This window comes from Homo sapiens, chromosome 18 (assembly GCF_000001405.40).
Source record: "Homo sapiens chromosome 18, GRCh38.p14 Primary Assembly".
Lineage (NCBI taxonomy): Eukaryota > Metazoa > Chordata > Mammalia > Primates > Hominidae > Homo > Homo sapiens.
This window is the reverse complement of record NC_000018.10, coordinates 46,680,522-46,703,388: the sequence shown is the minus strand read 5'-3', so window position 1 is coordinate 46,703,388 and position 22,867 is coordinate 46,680,522. Positions and strand designations below refer to the sequence as shown.

General features: G+C 48.2%; 1 protein-coding gene across 3 annotated transcripts in view; it reads left to right on the top strand.

Annotated features, from left to right (window-relative positions):
- ST8SIA5 (ST8 alpha-N-acetyl-neuraminide alpha-2,8-sialyltransferase 5) overlaps positions 1 to 22,867 on the top strand; it is an 89,233-nt gene that overhangs the window by 53,665 nt on the left and 12,701 nt on the right. For all 3 annotated transcript variants that reach the window (NM_001307987.2, NM_013305.6, NM_001307986.2), the window contains 4 exons: positions 11,134 to 11,220; positions 14,470 to 14,614; positions 17,103 to 17,215; positions 21,325 to 21,417. In NM_001307987.2, the coding sequence (NP_001294916.1) occupies positions 11,134 to 11,220; positions 14,470 to 14,614; positions 17,103 to 17,215; positions 21,325 to 21,417 (438 nt within the window). The remainder of the gene's footprint in view (positions 1 to 11,133; positions 11,221 to 14,469; positions 14,615 to 17,102; positions 17,216 to 21,324; positions 21,418 to 22,867) is intronic.

The window sequence follows — 22,867 nt, the reverse complement described above, 5'->3', positions numbered from 1 at the left end:
ATCACAAGGTCAGGAGATCGAGACCATCCTGGCTAACACAGTGAAACCCCATCTCTACTAAAAAAAACACAAAAAATTAGCCAGGCGTGGTGGCAGGCGCCTGTAGTCCCAGCTACTCTGGAGGCTGAGGCAGGAGAATGGCGTGAACCCAGGAGGTGGAGCTTGCAGTGAGCCGAGATCACGTCACTGCACTCCAGCCTGGGTGACAGAGCGAGACTCCGTCTCAAAAAATAAAATAAAATAAAATAAAAAAAGAAAGTAGATAGCCCAGCAGCCTTCATGCTCAGTAGCGCACATCATAGGTGTTCAATAAATGTCAGCACCCGTCTCTCTCTTTCCTTCCTTCCTTTCCTTTTTGGAACTAGTAGCAGCAGCTTTTCTGGACTGTCATGCACAGACTCCATAGCTCAGCGGTTCCTGGAAAGCTCCAAGGGTGAGACCAGCATCCAGCTGGGATTAGCTGCATTGTTTATGGCCCCTGTACTAACCCATGGTCTCTGTACCCTCTCCAGAGAAGGTGGGATACAGACACCACCTATCAGTTTCACTGAGCCCTGAGCTGAACACATACCACTGTGGTGCCCACCCTTGTGGAACTCACAGCCACTGAGGGGGACAGACATTAATAGCTAGTTACCCTAAGGAGCTGGGGTAGTGACAGGGAACTTGACCCAGGCTGGGACTAGGGGGAGGATGTCAGGCAACGCTTCTCTGAGGAAGGGACACTGGAGCTCCAGTCTGAAGTGTGACAGGAGTTAACTAGGCCAGGAGGACTCCAGGTGGAGGGAACAGTCTGTACAAAGGCCCTATGCCAGGAGGGAGCTGGCTGTGTCCCGGGCTCTGAAGGATGGGGCAGCTCGAATGCCGGCGGGGAAGACACGGAAGCTGCATTGCTAGAGGGTCAGGTAGGGCCAGACCATGTGGGGCTTCATGATACAGACCCAGGTTTGGGTTTTACCTTTATCCAAGGGCCATGAGAGCCACGGGAATGGTTTTAAGCAGGGCCTGGGGCATGTGAGCTGGTTGGTATTTTAAACATGCCTCCAAGGAGTTTTGATTTAGTGGCAAAAATGGCTGTTGGAGCCAAGTTCAGAAGCTGGTAGCAGAGAGTCTGTCTTCTCAGAATTCAAAGCTTTCAGGCCCTTCCATGTTTTACTGTGCAAATCCAGAGCACTGTGATTGAAAGCACACCTTCAAGATTTCAGAGAATAAATGACTAATTTCTGTTTTTTTTTTTTTTTTGAGATGGAGTCTCACTTTGTCACCCAGGCTGGAGTGCAGTGGTGCCATCTCGCCTCACTGCAACCTCTGTCGCCCGGGTTCAAGCAATTCTCCTGCCTCAACCTCCCAAGTAGCTGGGATTACAGGTGCCTGCCACTGTGCCAGGCTAGTTTTTATATTTTTAGTAGATACGGGGGTTTCATCATCTTGATCAGGCTGGTCTTGAACTCCTGACCTCATGATCCACCCGCCTTGGCCTCCCAAAGTGCTGGGATTACAGGCGTGAGCCACCGCACCCAGCTGACTAATTTTTTTAAATTATAAAATGTATAGTTTCTTCATGGTTCCTTGAAGGTCTGGACAGGAAGATTTAAGAAATCCTATGAATGGGGTCATCCTTCTGGGGAACTTCCCATCCCTCTATGCATGTATTTTCTGTATGTTGCTGTTAGGTCCTGTATCAGTTTGCTGTAACAAGGTACACAAGACTTAATTCTTCCACAATTCTGGAGGCCAGGGGTCTGAGATGAAGATACTGCAGAGCTGGCTTCTTCTGAGGCCTCTCTCCTTGGCCTGCCAATGGCCTTCTTCTTGCTGTGTCCCTATATGGTTGCCCCGGGTCTGAGTCTTGCCTGTGCTCTAATCTCTCTTTGTAAGGGCATCAGTCATATTGGATCAGGGCTCACTCTGATGGCCTCATTTTAACTTTATTACCTCTTTAAAGGCCCTATCCCTGCGGTAGCTCATGCCTGTAATCCCAGCACTTTGGGAGGCTGAGGCAGGTGGATCACCTGAGGTCAGGAGTTTGAGACCAGCCTGGCCAACATGGTGAAACCCTGTCTCTACTAAAAATACAAAAATTAGCTAGGCATGGTGGCACGCACCTGTAATCCCAGCTACTCGGGAGGCTGAGGCAGGAGAATTGCTTGAACCCGGGAGGTGGAGGTTGCAGTGAGCCCAGATTGTGCCATTGCACTCCAGCATAACTGACAGAGCAAGACACCACCTAAAAAAAAAAAAAAAAAAAAAAAAAAAAAGGCCCTATCTCCAAATACGGTTTCATTATATGGTCCTGGGGGTTAGGACCTAAGCATACGAATTTTAGGGAGACACACTTCAGCCCACAACAGCCCCTGTCACAGCTTCCATTTAGGGCCAGATTAGAAATAACCCAGGGCCATTGTTTTGAGCTCAAAACACAAACACTGTTCAGTGTCATGGACAACCTCATATGTCCCCATGGTCTGACTGTACTAGCCCATGGTCTCTGCACTCTCTTTAGAGAGGAACATGAGAGACAGTCACCTTCCATCGATTCCACTTGCCATCACTTGTCCCTGTTATGGACTCCCATTGGTGGTGTTTGGGCCTCTCCACATTTGGCTTTGGTTCTCATCTCTGCCTTGGGGCACCCTCTCTGTCCCCAGGGGCTGGGCTCCTAGGGTGAGCAGCCATCCTAGCTGGGGCCCCTGGCTGAGCTGGGCTTTGCATGCCCTCCCTCTTCTACAGTAGTTACCTCTCTGTGACCCCAAGCCCTGGGAGTCTGAGAGGGAACGAGAGGCTGGGCTGTTCCTGGGGCATGAGTGTGTGTGCCTCCTTTCCTGAGTCCCCAAGCTGAGGGTCAGCAGGTCCTCCAGGGCTGAAATCAGAGAGCTGCAGAGGCCGGCCTCTGATCTGAGTGGTTCTGACACTATCTTGGGACCCGGGGGCTTCACTGTGCTCCAGCCCAGTGCCATGAGGAGGACTCATAGAGGGTCCAACCCTCAGTCTTTGGGAAAAGGTTAAAGTCCATCTGTGAATGGAGGGGCTGATGGATGTGCTTTGCCCCTTCGGGCCTGCAGAATGTCAGCTGGTGTTTTGTTTGAGGAGACAGGGAGGTGTATGGTTCATCTGGGAACAATTCTGATCCACAATTGCTGAAATCAGTGGTAAAAGTCAGTCAGCCAGAAAATCCCCACATGGAAAATGCCTCCCTCCCTGACAGTGTCAGATACATGAAGAACGACTCCATGATGATTTGTTATGAAAACTCATTGTCACTAATTCTTACTAAAATTATTTACACCTGTCATCTAGAGCCCCTTTATTTTAAAATAAGAATCTTCAGTTGCTGCCTGTGCTCACACCCAGATGGGGGTCATGCTGGAGAATTCCCCAGGCCAGCGTCTCCTGTCACCCTTCCCCATTTTTCTGCCACTGGGAGCTCTGTGCTGAGCCCAGTACTGAGACCAAGAAAGAGGCTGGGAGCAAAGGCCAGCTGGGCAAATGCCCACTCTCTGGACTGGGAGCCCCTTTTGTGCCATTGCAGTGTTCACAAGTCTCTGTCCTCTGCCAGGTGGAGGTTCCTGGAGGGCCAGGACCCAGGCTTCGGCATCTCTGAGTCTGGCCCTATGCCAGCTCAGTACTCATGTGTTAAATGAATAAGTGGACAGAGGGAGTGGGTGAGACCCGGGTGCAAACAGGAGGCTGTGAAAGAAAAGAGGGAGAAAGGCTGGGCGCGGTGGCTCATGCCTGTAATCACAGCACTTTGGGAGGCCGAGGCGGGTGGATCACGAGGTCAGGAGATCGAGACCATTCTGGCTAACACTGTGAAACCCCGTCTCTACTGAATATACAAAAAATTAGCCAGGCGTAGTAGCAGGCGCCTGTATTCCCAGCTACTCGGGAGGCTGAGACAGGAGAATGGCGTGAACCCAGCAGGCGGAGCTTGCAGTGAGCCGAGATCACACCACTGCACTCCAGCCTGGGCGACGGAGTAAGACTCCGTCTCAAAAAAAAAGAAAAAAAAAGAGGGAGAAAGAAGAGTAAAGAGAGAATCACTCTCATTTCATTACAATTAGTGCCCAGCTCCCTCCCACATTTCCACAATTGAGGGGTATTAATATTTTTAGTCTGTCTATAGATTACCTAAGTAATCGATTTCTTGTTCTACCAAATATCAACAGTATCTCTTAATCCTGCACTGTATAAGATAAGGATATTAAAATTATTCCTACTCTGCAGTTCCCCCTCCAGCCTATCGCTTCTGTCATCCATGCGTTGACTTTTAAAATGACAAGGCCGATAACATTTGTATTCTATTTGTAACCATACCAAGCCCTTTTTGAAGCTTTTTCTAGAGATTAACTCTAAAATTTGAAGAATAACAAATAGTGTTTTCCATTATTGGGATGATGTAGATATTGTTCACTGAAGGCCAGGGAGGCACCAGGACTCCATCAACTTTCTTGTACATGTTTCTTTCTTTTTCTGGAGCTTCTAGCCATCTTTTTCCCCTTGTTTCCTCTATTATAGCTGTATCTATTTCCCTGCCTCTCCATCGGTCAGGCATTCCCTTTAGGGTTTCTCTTCATCATCTTGCTCCAGTCTGGCTGCCCTCTTGCTGGGTCATGTGGCTGTTGTTTTGGGGCTTCTTTTCTCTGCCTTCTGAGGTTGGATTCACCTTTGCTTAGAACCTATAGCTTCTTTTGTGTTTACTTCTTCCTTTTACTTCCACCCATTCTCAAGTAAATACCAAGAAGTGACAGGTGGGAGGTAAGGTTTTGAGTCCTTTTGTGTCTAAATGACTGGATTCTTCCCTTTTACCTGATTGTTGGTGTGACGGGTTGTTGGATTGTTGTTTGGACTGTTGGCGTGGTGGGTGGTTGGTTTGATTGTTGGTGTGTTGGGTTGTTGGGTTGCTGTTTGGATTGTTGGTGTGGTGGGTTGTTGGATCGTTGGTTTAATTGTTGGTGTGGTGAGTTGTGGGATTGTTTTGATTGTTGTTGTAGTGGGTTGTTGGGTTGTTGGTTTGATTGGTGTTGTGGATTGTTGGGTTGATTTGATTGTTGGTGTGTTGGGTTGTTGGATTGTTTTGATTGTTGGTGTGGTGGGTTGTTGGGTTGTTGGTTTGATTGGTGTTGTGGATTGTTGGGTTGTTGTTTTGATTGTTGGTGTGGTGGGTTGTTGGGTTGTTGTTTTGATTGTTGGTGTGATGAGTTATTGGATTATTGTTGTGATTGTTGGTGTGGTGGATTGTTGGGTTGGTTTGATTGCTGGTGTGTTGGGTTGTTTTGATTGTTGGTGTGGTGGATTGTTGGGTTGTTGGTTTGATTGTTGGTGTGGTGGGTTGTGGGGTTGTTGGTTTGATTGCTAGTCTGGTGGGTTGGTATTTTAGGTGAAAATCATTTTCCCTTAGGATGTTGAAGACCTTCTCTACCATCTTTTAGCATCTAGGGATACATGAGAAGCATGAGAATGGTTGTTTTATTTCTTTGGAAGTATCCATTTTTTTTTCCTCTGGAATCTTTACAGTTCTGAAATGTGGAATCTTTTTATTTGGAGTTTGTGTCCAGACTCTTCAACTTTCTCTCAAATCTTTTTATATTCCTTCTTCTCCATTTCTCTCTACTTCTTCTCTTTAATCTAATAATCCTATACTTCTGGATTGTACCTCTAGTACTCATATCTTTTTATTGTTGTTGAGACAAGGTCTTGCTCTGTCAACCAGGCTGGAGTGCAGTGGTGTGATCATAGCTTACTGCAGCCTTGAACTCCTGGCCTCAAGCAATCCTGCCGCCTCAGCCTCCTGAGTAGCTGGGACTATAGGCGCATGCAGCCACACCTGGCTGATGTTTTTCAAACATTTTTTTGTAGAGATGGGATCTTGTTACATTGCTCAGGCTGGTCATATCTTTTAATTTTATCTTTTTTCTCTCCTCTTTTTGCTTCCACATACTGGGAAAATCCCTTGACTTCATCTTCCAGCTCTTCTGGTGAACCCCTCCCCCACAAGAGTTCTTTCTTTGTACCCTAAGTAGAATATTTTTAAGTTCTGTTTTGTTCCTCCAATAGTTGTCTTTGTGGTCATTTTATCTGATGGGTTATCTTGGTCTCACTTCAGGTTGACCAGGTGACCCTTGGCTATCTATCCATATTTAACCTTGAAATAAAAACTGATAGGAGCTCTGTGTCTGAAGTTGTTCATGATGCTCCTGGCCCTTTTGTTGCTAGAACGGCCAGATCTTTTAACTGTAAATGATACCTTTTTTTTTTTTTTTTTTTAACAGAGGAACTAATAGTCTGATTCCATCTCTCCTCCTCCTCTGCTGGACATTAAGCATTTGGCTGCCATGGTTTTTGGTGGGGTAGGGGGAGTGTAGGCTTGATGGTTCTGCTTACAGACTCACAACTGATTCTCATTTTTAGGGCCATGCTCCCTCCCCATCCTCCACCCACCTCTTAGAATTTTCCATGTGCAGATTGGCTCTAGGTACTTGGGCTGTGTCATCCTGTCCTTGTGCTACTCTCTTGTACTTCCATACACTTGTTGAAATTTCTCTTCTACTGAGATGCCCTTCCCTGTCATTCTATTCATCTATGGGCTTGTACCTTTTTTAATTCCTCTTCTGGAATGTTAGTGGTGTCTTGGGAGAAAGGAGAAAAGTGCCTGGGGTCAACCCTTCATCTTTAAAGATCTCTGCATTTGTAAAGCAATTTGTAAAATCTTTTTACACATATTCCATTTGAGCTCTCTGACAACCTTTAAGACTGGAAGGGCAGCAGCCAGCCGTTATATCCAACTTACAGATAAAGCAGCTGAGTCTCAGAGAGATTAAATGACTTGCCCAAGGTTACATTGCAAGATTGGGATGGTGCCAGGATTCAAGGCTGGGTGTCCCAGGCCCTGACCTTGGTCCAGGGTGTGATGAGGGCATTGGAGGCAGAGAGAGTAGGGCCCAGACGCTGGTAACAGTAGAGCTTGGAACCCCGCCTAGAGTTTTGCCAGGGCTGTGTTTCCAGAAGGCATTTGAAGCAGTGGCCATATAGGGGGCTGCTCTAGGGGCCTGTGGATTGCAGAGAGTGGGAAGGGGCAGGGGGCAGTGGGTGAGCCAGGGTGTTGCTGTATGATGGCACCTCTCCCTCATACCCTGTGAGGTCCTGAGAGGGGAGGTTTGGGAAAGCTGGAAGGAAGGTTTGCCTTCTGTCAGCCAGGGTGGGAGGAGGAAAGCTGCCAGGCTGGGGCTTTTGCACTCACTTTTCTCTCAGCCCGGAATACACTTTTCCCAGATATTTGCACAGCTCACTCCTGTGTCATTTCAGGTCTCTGTGCAAGGTTCTCCTCCTCAGGAAAGCCTTCCCTGATCACTCAGTCTGAAACAGTCACTTCCCCGTCCCTTTAACCTGCTTCACTTTCCTTCCTGGCACTTGCCACTTCCTGGCAAGGCATTATATATTTGTTTTCCATTTTCCTCCCCAATTGGTGTGTAAGCTCCATGGAAGCAAGGGGTTGTTTTGTTCACTACTGTATTTCTAGTTCCTGCCATATGGAGATAACTCAACAAATAGTGAGACTTGATTTGAACTCAGGTGTTTCAATTAATTCATTAACTTATTGGTATACTCAACAAATATTTACCACGCATCTGCTATGTGCCTTAGCACTTGAGTTACAGTGATGAGCGTAGGCTTGATCCCCTGCCCCCATGGTATTTACTGTCTAGTGGGAAAGATCAGGAATCATGATAGGTCATAGGTTTTACAAAAGTGGAAAGTACAGGGGGCTGTGAGTGAGCATAGTCAGGGCAGTTCAGTGTAACAATACTAATAACTTATATGTACTGGATGCTTTCTGTGTGTCAGGTGCCATGCCTAGTCTTTTATCACATCATCCTATTTAATTATTTCAACAAATTTGGGAGGGCAAGAGACTATTATTACATCCATTTTATAGATGAGAAAACTGAGACTCAGAGAGGTTAAATAACCAGCCTGAGGTCTCATAGTTGGCAGCTATCTGAACTAAGACTTAGGTCTTAGCCCAAGTCCCACTAGTTCCAAAATCCATGTATTTAGTTACTATCTTCCATGACTTTTCCTGCAATCACCCCTCCCCTGCCAGCTATGTATTCTTCCTATAGGGGAGGCTTGCCTTGTTTGAGGACAACTGTTACCACCTCCAATTAAACACAGGACATGCCTCTACAAAATGAACCCTTTTTTTAAAAAGGGTTTTTTTTTTTTTTCTTTTGAGATGGATTCTTGCTCTGTCGCCTAGGCTGGAGTGCAATGGCACAATCTCGGCTCATTGCAACCTCCACCTCCTGGGTTCAAGCGATTCTCCTGCCTCAGCCTCCCAACTAGCTGGGATTACAGGCACGCACTGCCATGCCCGGCTAATTTTTGTATTTTTAGTGGAGACAGGGTTTCACTATGTTGGCCAGGCTGGTCTCAAACTCCTGACCTCAGATGATCCGCCCGCCTCGGCCTCCCAAAGTGCTGGGATTAGAGACGTGAGCCACTGCGCCCGGCCTAAAAAGGGTTTTTAAAGTGGGTATTTGCTTTTTTTTTTTAAATAATGGACCCCTGTAGGAACCTGAAGAAAGCTTCAGATTCTCCCCAAAGATATGCACGTGGGTGGATAGACATGGATTTTGCCTATAACAAAATCGGGGGGTACAGGCACTTCCTTTAGCCCTTCAGTGGACCCCAGGGTAAGAGCCACAGTGATAGTAGTTTCTTGGTAACACTCAGCTCCTGAAGGCTGGTCACTTTCCCATTTATGATCAAACAGGACAGCTTCCTTTCAAGGGCTCCTGTCTGCACCAGCACCCAAGACTAATGAGCTTCTTAGTGGGCCACAGCCAGGTGACCCCAAACAGCTACAGAATGCCTGGCCCTAAAGTGGGGACTGTGCATGATCAAGAGAGAGAAATCATGGTGCTGCCTTTAAGGAGTGTATGATCTGTCTGCATTTCGCAGTTTTACTGTAGAATTACAATTTTTCGAACTACTCAATGGAAAAAGACGATCCAATAATTTTCTTGGAAATTCACAATATATGAGACATATTAAGGGATCTGAGAAGTCTTGCAGTAAAGAAAAGCATTTAACTTTATTTAGCTCAGCTTTCCCCAACTATATTTGACCATAGGATCCACCTTAAAAAACAAACAAAAAAAAAGATGCATAATTCTTTGCCAAAGATCTGGAGTTCATCAGGAAGGGCTCGCCCAATTGTATAATGTGTCTTGTGCTCCCTTCCTTAAGAAGGAGTGGGTGCTGGCCTGGCTTGAGGAGCTTCCTGGATCTTTCTGGATCTCATGACTCTCACCAGGCCAGGGCCTCAGTGGAACCTTCAACAGCTGGGATCCTAGAGAATTCTGGACATTTCTGTAGAATAGGAGAATCACCCGCAAAACCAAGTGTAAGTGAAAGCAGGAAGGAATTGGTTAGGATGCAAGGAACAATTTCTTAACTGAAATGCGGAAGGAGTAACTAAAGATAGGGATAGGTAATGGAGATGCTAAAGCGGATCTGTGACAGAGAGAGCTTGGGAATGTGGACTTGGCTCTGAGCTTAGGCACTGCTGAAAGAGGGGAGAAACTGATAAGAAGGGTGAGCGACTATTTGAGGTTAATGTACATGAGGATCTCATATTGGTCAGTTAGTGTTTGTGGGAATTTGTATTTTTGATTTGGCTCAGTCATTCACTCAATAAATATTTATCAAGTATCTATATTTTGCTAAGCACTGTTCTAGAAGCTGGGGATACAGCACTGAAATGATTATATGTATGCATAATTATAAATAAGTCGATGTAAATGTGTAAATTAAAAATGAGTTCTTTTTGCAGGTTTCGGTCAAAGGGAGAATGCTGTGTGGTTTAGACGTTCCCTTTCCTGAGAGTGCTTTAGAATGTCATGATGCTGAGATGTTTAAATGCCAACTAGCATAGAGGCTGGCCGAGGGTTTTTCAGGGAGAAGGGGCAGTCTCAGGTTTCTCATCTCATCCTTTCTGTCATTTGGAAACTGTGATCCACCCTTGAGAAGGGAGAAAGAGAAGGGCATGCCCTGCTCATGAGCCCTACTGTGTGCTGAACTGTGTGGGTGTTTGATGGGTGTTCCACTGGGGTCTGACTCTCTTTATAGACAGATGTTCCCAAGAGAACTATGCAGGCCCTGGGGGGTGGGCACGTGAGGGAGAAGGTTTCAAAGTGTTTCTGGGATTTGTTTTAATCAGGTACAGTAGGACACGCAGACATGAAAATGACCATCATGAAGTAAGACGTTATACTCACAGATCCCTAGAAACAGGAGGCATGCCCTGCAGGGCAGCCCCAGGGCCGGTCAGGAGGCAGCAGTGAGGGGAAAGTGTGGGTGAGACTATTGAGGTTTTCAGGGGAGGGAATGGATAAGGCAGGGTCGGCAGGGTAGCCAGGTTTAGGATTGGCTAGTTTGAATAATTCTGGCAGGCTCTGAGGCATAGGGACTGCCTCTGTTTGTCCGATACCTGGCCCTGGGATGATTAGGGTGGGGGGTGGGGAGGGGATGGTGGCCTGTCAGTGAGGAGGTGGTTGAGGGTGTGGGCTCTGATTGGTTGGTTTGCACATGAAAGGCACACTTGCAGGACAGTTGTTTGCTAACTAGGAATTAGCAAGGCACCAGGTGCCAGAGCATCAGGAATATAGAAAATAAGAAAATACCAGGTGGGCACGGTGGCTCACACCTGTAATCCCAGCACTTTGGGAGACCGAAGCGGAAGGATCCCTTGAGGTCAGGAGCTCGAAACCAGCCTGGCCAACATAGTGAAACCCCATCGCTACCAAAAAGTACAAAAATTAGCTAGGCATGGTGGTGCACCTGTAGGCCCAGCTACTCGGTAGGCTGAGGCACGAGAATCACTTGAACCCCAGAGGCGGAGGTTGCAGTGAGCTGAGATCACACCATTGCACTCCAGCCTGTACATCGGTGTGAGGCCCTGTCTTAAAAAAAAAAAAGAAACAAAGAAAGAGAAGAAAACATGGTCAATGCCAAGGGCCAGCCCCAGGACTGGACTTGGCCTATGGGAGATCAGGAGGGAGCATTTCTGGGAATGATCGCGCTCTGTCCCGCCTACCCTGCTCATGTACTCTTCTGTCCTCTACTCCCAAGGGTGAAGCAGTCAGAGCTGTTCGACAGGTGGAAGAGCCTCCAGATGTGCAAATGGGCGATGAACATCTCTGAGGCCAACCAGTTCAAGTATCTATGATTCGTCTGTCCTCCCTTCTCCTTGTATGATTCTCCTCACTGCCACCTCTTCTGGTCTCCATTGTCCTGCAAGGCCCAGCTCTCAGCGTGCATCTTCCCCAGAGCAGACCCTGACTGGGCTTAGGAATCCGGGCAGTGGGGGAGATCTGATTCAACATGCAGGCTGAGGCAGGCACCTTGCCCAGGTGCTATCCTCCACCTTCTCTCCCTTAGTCCTTGCAGCAGCCTTGTGAGGTTGGTGGTGCCATCTCCAGTACACAGCTGAGGTTCACTGAAGCTATTAGCAGGGAAGCATGTGTGGGCGGTCTCCAGCAGGCCTGTGTGAAGGTGCATTACGCATCCTCTATAGCCTCCTGGTCCTCACCTCCCCTGTCCTGGGGCAGCGGCTCTGACCCAGTAGCTTCTCTCCTTCTCAGAGCATTTGAGTTCTTCCAGCCTCCACGAGACATTTGAGCCCTGCTGCAGATTATTTTATAAATGCTCTCTAACCAAAATGAGCAGATTATAAACTTCCAGAGAGGTAAGAGCTGGATCTTAAAGTTGTCCTGTGGGAACTCTGCAAATAACAGATGTCCAAAAATTCTTTTTGATGGATGGTGAACTTTAGGGTCTTCTCCATCTCTAAAGTTCTGTAAGCTTATGGGATTATTTTAGTGCAGGTAGACCTTATTTTATGGAGTTGATGTAATCTGGCAATTTGTGTCTATACTGGATTTCAGCACTCAGGTCCAAGTTTAAATGTACTGAGGAGCTCTAAGCATGAAGGAGTCCTGCACAAGATTGTGAAAAGCAAAGATGACTAAGCTTTTTCTTTATAAATCATTTGTTCCAATTTGCTGCAGCTCCAGACCAAGTCTAGAGGTAGAGTAGTAGTTTTAAGAGGCACATTTTTAGAAATGCGAATGTTTAAAGTGATAACACTTGAAGATCAGGTGCCAGAGGCCTCTGGGAGACTACAGAAACCAAGCAAAGGCCTGACAGTAGTTTGCAGAGACTCACCTATCATAAGAAACAGAACATGAGCTTGAGCAAAGTGCTGGGAGAGTAGAGAATAGAACCATAATCTGTGCTGCCAATTGGCCCCTTAGAAATGTTACTGTGCACACTGCACAGAGGTGCCCCTGGGGGCGAGTGAGACCTGACACACTGAGAGTATGGCTGATAAAACACTCAGCCTGGACCAGGTCAGTGAGAGGCAAAAGCCTGTTGTCCAGACTTAGGGCAGAATAGAAGTCTCAGCAGTGGACCAGGCATGGTGGCTCACGTCTATAATCCCAGCACTTTGGGAGGCCAAGGCGGGTGAATCACCTGAGGTCAGGAGTTCAAGATCAGCCTGGCCAACATGGTGAAACCCTGTCTCTACTAAAAATGCAAAGAAATTAGCCAGGTGTGGTGGTGCACACCTGTAATCCTAGCTACTTGGGAGGCTGAGGCAGGAGAATTGCTTGAACCCGGGAGGTGGAGGTTGCAGTGAGTGGAGATCATGCCAATGCACTCCAGCCTGGGCGACAGAGCGAGACTCCATCTCAAAAAAAAAAAAAAAAAAGTCTCAGCAGCAGGACTCACATATCTCAGGAAACATGAAGCAATAGGGAAATGATGTGGCAAGAGAAAAACAGGGATGAGTGTGGGAGCCTTTGGCAGGGACAAGACAGCACAGTGCAGGGGTGGAGCTCTGGGCATGAGGGGTGTGGAGCAGTTTCAGGTGTGAGAAAAGGCAGTGACATCAGGCCTTGCCATGCTCTAAGTGAGAAAACCTTCCAGGCTGGTCATTGCCTCCCTTTGCTCTCATTTCAAGCTCATGGAACAATGATGAGATGCTTCATTCAGGCTGGCAGGAACCTGGTGCCATGAGGGAGTGTCAGGTGGGTGCTAGAAGGCAGGCATGAGCTTTCGAATTACAGGAAATGAATCCTGTAACAGGCCTTCTCCCACCCTGCTGCCTACAAATAGGCACACTGACATTCTGGTTTGTATATCAGTCACTTATGAGCTTGGTTAGTGTGAGTCAGTATCCCTCAATAGGAGTGATCTCCAGTGGGCTGACAAGACTGAGCTTCTGAACTAGCAAAGCTAAAAGGCCCAGATGCCAGTTTGTAATGCCAATCCATGGCCCTGCCTTGCCAGGCCTCTGGTCTCCTCTCTGGGAAGCTTCTGTTACATTCTGAAACCCAGCTCTCCACAGGAAATTCTGCTCTCTGTGACTGGGAGCCAGCTAGGCTTCCCAGTGAAGTACCTGCAAGAGATGAAATTAAAAAAAAAAACATTATAGGCCAGGCATGGTGACTCACACCTGTAATCCCAGCACTTTGGGAGTCTGAGAGGCTGAAGCAGGTGGATCACCTGAGGTTAGGAGTTCGAGACCAGCCTGGCCAACATGGAGAAACCTTGACTCTACTAAAAAAAAAAAAAAAAAAAATTAGCCAGGCATGGTGGTGCTTGCCTGTAATCCCAGCTACTTGGGAGGCTGTGGCAGAAGAATCACTTGAACCCAGGAGGCGAAGATTGCAGTGAGCCGAGATCGCACCATTGAACTCCAACCTGGGTGACAGAGTGAGACCCTGTCTCAAAAAAAAAAAAAAAAAAATCATAAAACATTCCTGGCTTTTGCAAGCTGGAATCACAAATTACAGAGGATTAGAGGTAGAAGAGCCAAGCCTGTATGAGGAAACTAGGGCCCAGAGAGAAAGAGAGAGACCTTCCAGTAGCCTCACAACTGGTCGGGGCAGAGCAGAAGCAAGAATCCAGGCCTCTTGACACCAGGACGGCAGCCCAAGTTTCCATGCCAGGCCTGGCTGGGAGCTCTTTGGAAAGCTCCTCCTTACCCTCTATTAGTGGCCAGGACTCAGGCTCCGTCGAGGAGTTCCATACAGTGCAGACAGGGGCAGCTGGGTGGGGCTTCATGGAAAGAAGCCTGGCCTGGGCCCTGAATGAGTGGCAGAAGGCAGGGGCCTTGGGAGAGGCGTTGAAAAGGGAGGGGACTGCATGAGCAGAGGTGTAGGTTGGGGGCAAGCCTGGGAATGAGTGGGCAGGAGAGGCCTCGGCTCCATGCAGGGTGGGGATGTGTGTGGGATGGGTGGGCAGGAGAGGCCTCGGCTCCATGCAGGGTGGGGGCAAGCGTGGGATAGGTGAGCAGGAGAGGCCTCGGCTCCACCCCTCTGTTCTCCGTGAGGTTGTGCTCTGCCCTCCATCACATCTTTCCTGCATCACGTCTTTCCTGCCTGTCTCCCTGCCTGGCAGGTCTACTCTGTCCAGGTGCTGCAACGCCCCTGCCTTTCTCTTCACCACCCAGAAGAACACTCCCCTGGGGACAAAGCTCAAGTATGAGGTGGACACCAGTGGCATCTACCACATCAACCAGGAGATCTTCCGCATGTTTCCCAAGGTGCTGCTTTGGGCGGGGGCGGTCTGGGTGGGGCGAGGGAGCCAATCCAGCAGTAGCCCTCCGTGGCAATGTCCCTGGGGTTTTGCCTGACTCACTCACGGTCCTCTGGACTCAGTTGTCTTGGTCCTGGTTGACCAGTTGTCTGAGGTGCAGAAGCCCACCCTCTGGATTTCTTTGGGGGTTCTGTCTGAGAACCATGACTGCCAACTGTCTATGATTTGAGTGACTTTTGGCGAGAAAGTGACTAGAAAATTCTGGGTATTGCATTGCTTGCAGAGGATATCCTGCAGATAGGGAGAGAATGACAACACATTCGTCCCCCTCCTGAGGTAGGCACAAGAGCAAACGCACATGCAGAAGTTGTGAGCACAAGAAAGAACAACCCAGTGCAGATCTAGACTCTGAAAGATTCAGCTCACTTGATGACCGTGGGCAGATATTTTGTCTTTCAAAGCCTCAATCTCCTTATTTGTAACACTGGGGCTTGGACTATGAATAGATTTGGCTGATTATAACAGAACTTCTAAAATATCAGAGTCTTAATCAAGATAGATATTTATTTTTTTCCTTTCACATAAAAGAATTCTGGAGGTAGGCTGTGCAGGGCTGGCACGGTGGCTCCCTGGTCATGGAGGACCACAAAATGAATGAGCCGCAGACCTGAATGGTTCAGATCACTGACCTTGGCCATTGAGGACCGCAGTGAGTGAGCTGCAGACGTGAACTGTTCAGATCACTGATGCTGAGCACCTGCAATCACCTGGGCTGACGGTTGGTGCAGACTCACCGCACTACTCTCAGAGAAGGGGCGCTGGAACCTGCGCTTTCAGCCAGTTCTGGCAATTACCCAGGTGTGGTGGCGTATGGACTCTGAAGAGGAGGAAGGTTGCATGGGTGTGTTCATAACCACATTCAGGAGAGCTCTGGGCCCAGGACAGCATTCAGTGAATGTAGTTTATAGAAATTCTGAGTGGGGGCATGTAGAGGTCTTTTTGGAAGAAATCTGAAGGCCTTGGCTGCCTTGCTTCTTGGCTGAGTGCGAAACAAAGCCCAGAGTTCCCTGCATTCTGTGACTGGTACCAAAGTGTATAGGTAAGACTCATGCATTCTGGGGATGTGGGGGAGGAGCTGCAGGTGAGCGGCGTCAAATGTGTTCTCAATCACTGTGGCCCTAAGGGAGGATGGTGCTGAGCCACCTTTATGAGGTGGGTCTTACAAGGCCTGGAACATGAGGCTGGTGACAGCAGGTGGATTTGCATCTCACGCAGGTAATGCCAGTGGGTGTAACACAACTTAGTATGACATACAGATCCAAGGAGAAGCAGCCTATGGACCGCTGAAGGCCAGAGACAGACAGCAGGGCTCACCAGACATTCTCCAGAAAGTGCCAGGCGGTAACTGTTTTAGGATTTGCAGTTCATAGTCTCTCTGTCACTACTACTCACCTCTATCATTCTAGCACAAAAGCAGCTACAGACATGAGTAAACCAATGAGAGTGGCTATGTTCCAGTAACACTTTCAATCTTATTAGATGCCAAAATTGGAATTTTACATAGTTTTCATGTATCACAAAATAGTTTCTTCTTTGGGTTGTTTCCAACCATTTAAAAATATAAAATCCATTCCTGGCTTGCAAGTTACACAAAAACAGACGGTAGGCCAGATGTGGCCCACGGGCTGTATGTAGTTCGCTTGTCCCTGAATTAAAGCAATGTGACATAGAATCACATTTCCTGAACTTCCCTAAATGTAAGTATCTCTTTGTAAAAAATTCAGCTTCCCAGCCTCCTATCTGTGAGACTCTGATTCTGTGGTGCTGGGATGGAGCCCAGAAATTTATATTTTCAGAAAGTATCCCAGGTAATTCTTAACTTACAGAAGTTTAGGAAACAGCCATATGGAACATAATAAACTTTTGATGATTTTTCTGAAAATGACTATTTTTTTTTTTTTTTTTGCCTTTCTCTGGTACAAGTCTAATAGTGCAGTTTACTCACCTACTGGCTGTGAGAGGCCCCTGTTTTCCCCGCCTTGGCTCACTGGGCCTGTCCATCCAGGGAAAATGGACCACAAATAAGGACAGTCTCCCGCAGAAGTCCCCCTTAAATTTAGCCTGATTCCTGATGGCCCCAGGGCAGCATGGCTCTCCATGAGACCCCACCAGGCTGCTGGTCCCACCGGAAGCCCAGGCTGCAGGCCTGGCCCATTTCATGCAGGTCTGCCAGCCGCTGTGTGCCAGGAGGAAAGCTGCCCAGCAGGCCCTGGGCTTCAGGGATGGGAGTGGCCTTTGGTGCCATCTAATAGTAACAAGACTCTCAACCACTCTTCCCATCTGTAAAGTGGAAAGCCGCTTTCCTCCCACATTCCCCACAAGGCTGCCTCTTGGGACCAGGAGCTAATATAGGTGGGTGTGCTTGCAGAGGTGAGAGTAGCAGGTCGAGGCAGGGGGTGGCTTGGCTCTGACAGCTGTGCCTGTGCCTCCCCCAGGACATGCCCTACTACCGGTCCCAGTTTAAGAAGTGTGCTGTAGTGGGCAACGGAGGCATCTTGAAGAACAGCCGCTGCGGGAGGGAGATCAACAGCGCCGACTTCGTCTTCCGGTAAAAGAAACCCTGGCACTGCCCTTGCCACTACCCCATGGCCCTCTCCTCCATATTCTTCCCCCGGTTCCCTAATGCTACCCTTTAAGCAAGTAATCCCCACTTCCCACCCCTGCAGACCCTCAGGTCTGGGATATCCCTTCTTCTCTCCAGCCCCATCCCTTTGGGGAAGTCGTTGAACTCCTAGGTCCTCAGTTTCCACATCTGCACAATGGGAGATGTGTTAAGAGCAAAGGACATCACAGATTTGAAGGCACTGAGGACTTAGGAGCTTGCAGCTGTGTCGGGAGGTCCTCTGGGCACCGTCTCCTTGGGTGGGTGCTGCCCTTCCAGAAGCAGTGGTTGGAACCAGGGAAGCCTTGTGGCAGACACCAATATTGGCTTCACCCTGGCTTTAACTAAGCCAGAGACTGGTCCTTGCACTTCTTCCTTCCGTAAAGCCCCCCTCTTATCTCTTTGTGGATCTTCATTTATATCTTTAGCTGGGGTGAAGAAGGTGGGTTGAAAATAAAAGCTTAAAGCAAAGAGACTTGGGTTGAGTCTGCAGTGGGGTCGCATGAAGCATGGATCCACAATCATCGGGCCACTCAGTTGGTGTCAGGTTAGGGAGGGTAGAGCAGGTTTGGTGTGATTTGAGGTCCTTAAATAAAGGGACTCCTGCATATTTCGGGTTCTTGGCTGTCCAACCCCAGCCCCTGTCTCTAGAAGAAGGAAGCCTTGGACACCCTGCGTCACCTGCTGTCACAGGCGGAGTGTGAGAGACACACCTCTCTCTGTGATCTGGAGTCTGCCCATGTGCTCCCTGTGGACGCCTAGTCGAGTCCAGAATTGAAGGTTAAGCTTCCTCCAACACCGAAATCTCTGGCCCTCACTGACTCCTTAGCCCAGCCACATTCCTGCCAGGAAAGGCAAGGAAAGCCTCTTTCAAGATGGTCTTTTGGGGAGAAGCCCAGGTCTCTGGGGTCTCCCTGAACTTTGATCCAGGCTCCAGCATTGCTAGGCACATGACCTCAGGAATGTCATGTCCCCCTTCTGGGCCTTGGTTTCCTCATCTGCAAAATGGGGATAAGGATAGCAGCTCCATCAGTTATAGGATTAAATCACATAATGATTGTATAGCTCTTAGTACCTCCAGCACTGGACACACCATTAGAGCCCAGTTAGTGCCGGCAACTGCGCTTCCAGGTCCTGTTCCCTCTGCCTGGAATGCTGTCTCCCCAGCCCCTACATCCTGCGTTGCCAACTGCCGCTTGTCCTTCCAAGCTTAGCTCAAGAATCACCCACTCCTTCCCTGGCTAAACCCACTTGCACCCTTTTCTGGGCTCCCACGGAACCTGGTGTCCACCTATCATGAGGCCTTTAACAACCTAACCCTATAACCAGGGACCCGCTGAGTGGTCTCGCTCTTGCAGGCTGGAAACACAAAGAGAACTTCTGTTTACAGTAACTGATGTAATTGGCACAACATAACTACTCAGAAAAATTAGTCTTAAATGAAGGAATGAAGGCGTGAATGAAAGAATGGACTTGTGTGATTTTCAGGGCTAAGAAGTGGAGCGTATAGTGGTTCTGTCCACAGGCTCTGAAGCTGGGGAGCCTGGTTTGAGTTAGAAAAAGCTGTGTTACTTTGCGTAAGTTACCTAGCCACTCTGCCTTTATCTCCTAAAATGAAAGATGAGGATGATAATAGTAACTACCCCTTGGGGTCAGTATGAGGAATAAATGAATTAATATGTTTAAAATCTTCAAACACTGCAGGACACATACTAAGTTTTATTATAAGGAAAATGTTATTTTAAAATATTCCTCTCATTTTACAGATAAAAAACAATTTTTTGGGAGGGGATGATATTCCTTGCTAGGGTCATGGGGCTATTCATAGTCAGAAATGGGATACACTTCTGGTCTTGCATTCTTTCTGTGATACCATGTCATTTCTCTAGCTCGATAATATGATAGTAAATGTCTCCCTCGGAGGGGCTGGTCTCTTGTCCCACCACCTAAGATCTGTTAAGATCTGTGAGAGCACACAGTTGTTTGTGCTACTTTTGGAGATGCTGTGGGCCCTTCCATCCTCATCGTCATCATCATCATAGCAGTACAGCAGCAGCAAAGCCTTGCTGGGTGCCTGTATGTGCACGCCAAGATGCCCTGAGACTCCGTCCTGTTCTAGGCATGTCCTAGATGCTATTGCACTAGGAACGAGACCTAGGCTTGGAGTCAGACAGGCCCGTCCTCCACCCTGCCTTGACCACCTAATAGCAGCAAGTCCCTTGACCCTCTGAATGCCTGGTTTCTCATTTGCAACACAGTGAGCCTAATATCTGCCACCCAAGGTTATTGATGTCTCATATAATCCTATGAAAGTTCCTGGCATGCCACAGATGCTCAAAAAAATGGTAATTGACTGCACACACCCCACCCCCTCCCGCACTCAATCTTTAAGGACAATATAAAACCTGCCTTTCATAGTGGTCTGATAGAGAGGGGTATGGTTGGATCATAAAGTAGGTGACAGTCCTGGTCCTGTTATAGAATAGGGTTCTTCTGCACAATTATTCCTTAAACCCATGGCTTCCCCTTGACGAAAGACCGCATTCTTCACATGGCCCACCGTCCCTTATAGTCTGGCCCCTTCTTCCCTCTCTGCCCTCAGCTTGTACCACTCCCACCTTGCCTGTGCTCCAGTCACCGGGCCACAGTCACTCCTGGGTGCTTCCTGTTCTCATCTACCACAGGACCTTTGCACAGGACCTGTGTCTGGAATGCTCATGAGTTCCACATTCAACCAGCTAACACCTGCTTATTTCAAAATTTATTATTCATTCATTATGTAGTATTTGATGTGAAGAATATTTGTACCACATAAGTATGAAGCAAAACAATAAAATGAATATTTGTAGACCAACCACTTGATTTAAGAAGTTGAATGTTTGTATGGTGCCTTTGTATCAACTGGTGTGCTCCTTCCCATTCTACCTCCGTTTCCCCCTGAAGGTATCGCTACCTTGAATTGAGTACTTAATCATTCTCTCATTGTTAAAAATTGTTTTGTCATATGTAGATGTACCCCTGAACAATGTATTGTTAAACTATGCTTGTTTAGGGCCGTATTCGTTTCCTATTGCTGCTATAAAAAAATACCACCAAATTAGTGGTTTAAACAACACAGATTTTATTATCTTACAGTCTTGGAGGTCAGAAGTCTCACTGGACTAAAATCAAGATGTCTGCAGAACTGCATTCCTTTCTGGAGGCTCTCAGGGAGAATTTGTTTCCTTTTTCATTTCCTAGAAGCTCCTTGCATTCCTTGGCTCATGGCAAAGCCCACAGTGGAGTATCTTTCAGTCTCTTTCTCTGACTCCAATTCTGTTGCCACATACTTTCTTCTCTCTCCCTGGTTGTCACATCGTCTCTTATAAAGACCCTTGTGATGACACTGGACTCCCCCAGATAACTCAGGGCAATGGCTCCATCTCAAGATCCTAAACTTCATTGCAGCTGCAGAGTCCCTTCTGCCACGTAAGGCTGCATAGTCACAGGTTCCAGGGATTAGGACATGGACACCTTTGGGGGCTATTACTCTTCCTACTATGGGGCTTTCTACAAATGGTGGCAACTTGCTTTTGCATGCAATATGTGTTGCATTTCTAAGATGCATCTTCGAACATATCGCATGTTTATGTAGCTCTTCTCCTGCCACAGGACATTTGCTCAATTCCTCCTTCAGACCTCTGCTCAAGCATTGCTTCCTCAGGGAAGTCTTGGCTCCCTAGGAAAGGAGATGCTCCCCAGCCACCTGTCCTCTAAGAGCCATAATCCCATCCTCCAAAGGTCCAGGGACTACCCAAGCTTGTAACTGCATTTTACAACCAGTGATTTCTCTGCCCCATGTGTCTGGAACTTCAGCAAGGCCTGTTGGCTGTCCTAGTGCCTGATAAGGAGCAGAAGGACCACTGTCTTATCACCTGGCTACAGAGAACCTGCCTAGCTGGTTGCCTTTGCATCCCTCTGCCCACATGATCACCATCCCTCCCCTCCCCCTGCACCCTCCCCAGCCTGACCTATTGAATGACCAACCACCTTGGGCTGCCTTTTCTCTTCTGCAGGTGCAACCTGCCCCCCATCTCAGAGAAGTACACCATGGATGTGGGGGTGAAGACGGATGTGGTCACTGTGAACCCCAGCATCATCACAGAGAGGTCAGTGGCCCTCTTTCTAGAGCTGCACTGTCCAAAATGGTAGCCAATAGTCACATGCGGCTACTGGGCACTGGAAGTGTTGTTAGTCTGGAGGTGTGCTGGCTGTGAGTGTAAAACACACACTGGGTTTCAAAGACTTAATACAAAAACAGGATAACATATCTAATTAACTTGTTATATTAATTACACGTTGAAGTAATAGTATTTTCGAAATAGTGGGTTAAAGAAAATATAAAAACTTCACCCATTTCCATTTTTTCATATGTGCTTACTCGGACATTGTTAAATTCCATATGTGGCCTGCATTAGTTCTTTTGGACGGTGCTGGTCTACACTACCTTCACCTAGAGATGGGTGGGTCAGCTTTCCAGGGTGTGACCAGGGCAGGCAGCTCCCTACCTGGCTGTGTCCAGGAGGTACTGGGGAGAAGCTCACACTGAGATCTCAGCTCCCCTCCTGGCTCCCCTCCTGGGGTTCATCTGGAAGGTTTTAGGGGAAGTGTTGAAACCCTAGCCCCGGGCGTAGCCACACCAACCAGGTCAGAGGACATGTAAGAGGAGGGGACAGTGGGAGATGAGAGGAGGGGGTCATTGAATTGGATCAGATGCCCAGGGAGCAGCTATTTAAGGGGCGGGAAGAGACAGCAAAGTCAGAGAGGGCCCAAGAGGGAACGCTGCTTAATGTAAAGAAATGGGGCCAGGTGTGGTGGCTCATGCCTATAACCACAGCACTTTGGGAGGCTGAGGCCAGAGTGTGGCTTGCGGCCAGGAGTTCGAGACCAAATTAGGCAACATAGCTAGTCCCTGGTCTCTACAAAAAATTAAAAAAAAAAAATAGGCAAGTGTTGTGGTGCACACCTGTAGTCTCAGCTACTCAGAAGGCTAAGGTGGGGGGATTGCTTGAGCCCAGGATTTCAAGGCTGCACAGAGCTATGATTGCACCACTGCACTCCAGCCTGGATGACAGAGCAAGACCGTGTCTCTAAAAATAACAACACACTAGTGTGTGAGAGAGAAACGGAGGCTGCAGGAGAGGAAGCGTCTGAGCCAAGACAGGCAGCTGCATTTGGGGTTTGTCCCTGGGGAGCTTGGGGATGACAGTACAGGTGAATGGCGTGAGGCCTCTAGAGCAAGCCTCCACTCCCGCAGCCACTTCCCTTCTGAGCCTCCCTTGGGCCACCCTCATCCTTTTGGATTCAGCATTGCCCTGCCCCCTGCAGCCACACCCTGGATATCTGTCCCTTTGGATCCCAACTGCCCTCTCCTGCACCCACTTAAAAAACTCAACTGCCCCTGAGAGAGTTCTCACCTTCATCTGCACAGGTGCGTGAGGTGTCAGGAGGCAGGTGGCCTTATGAGTCCCTTCCGTCCTTTGCAAAGCCCCAGGGTGCAAGGGTGGGGAAGCGAGGGGCCTGAGGGCACGGAGGAGTGGGTGCTCACCTCTCACTCGC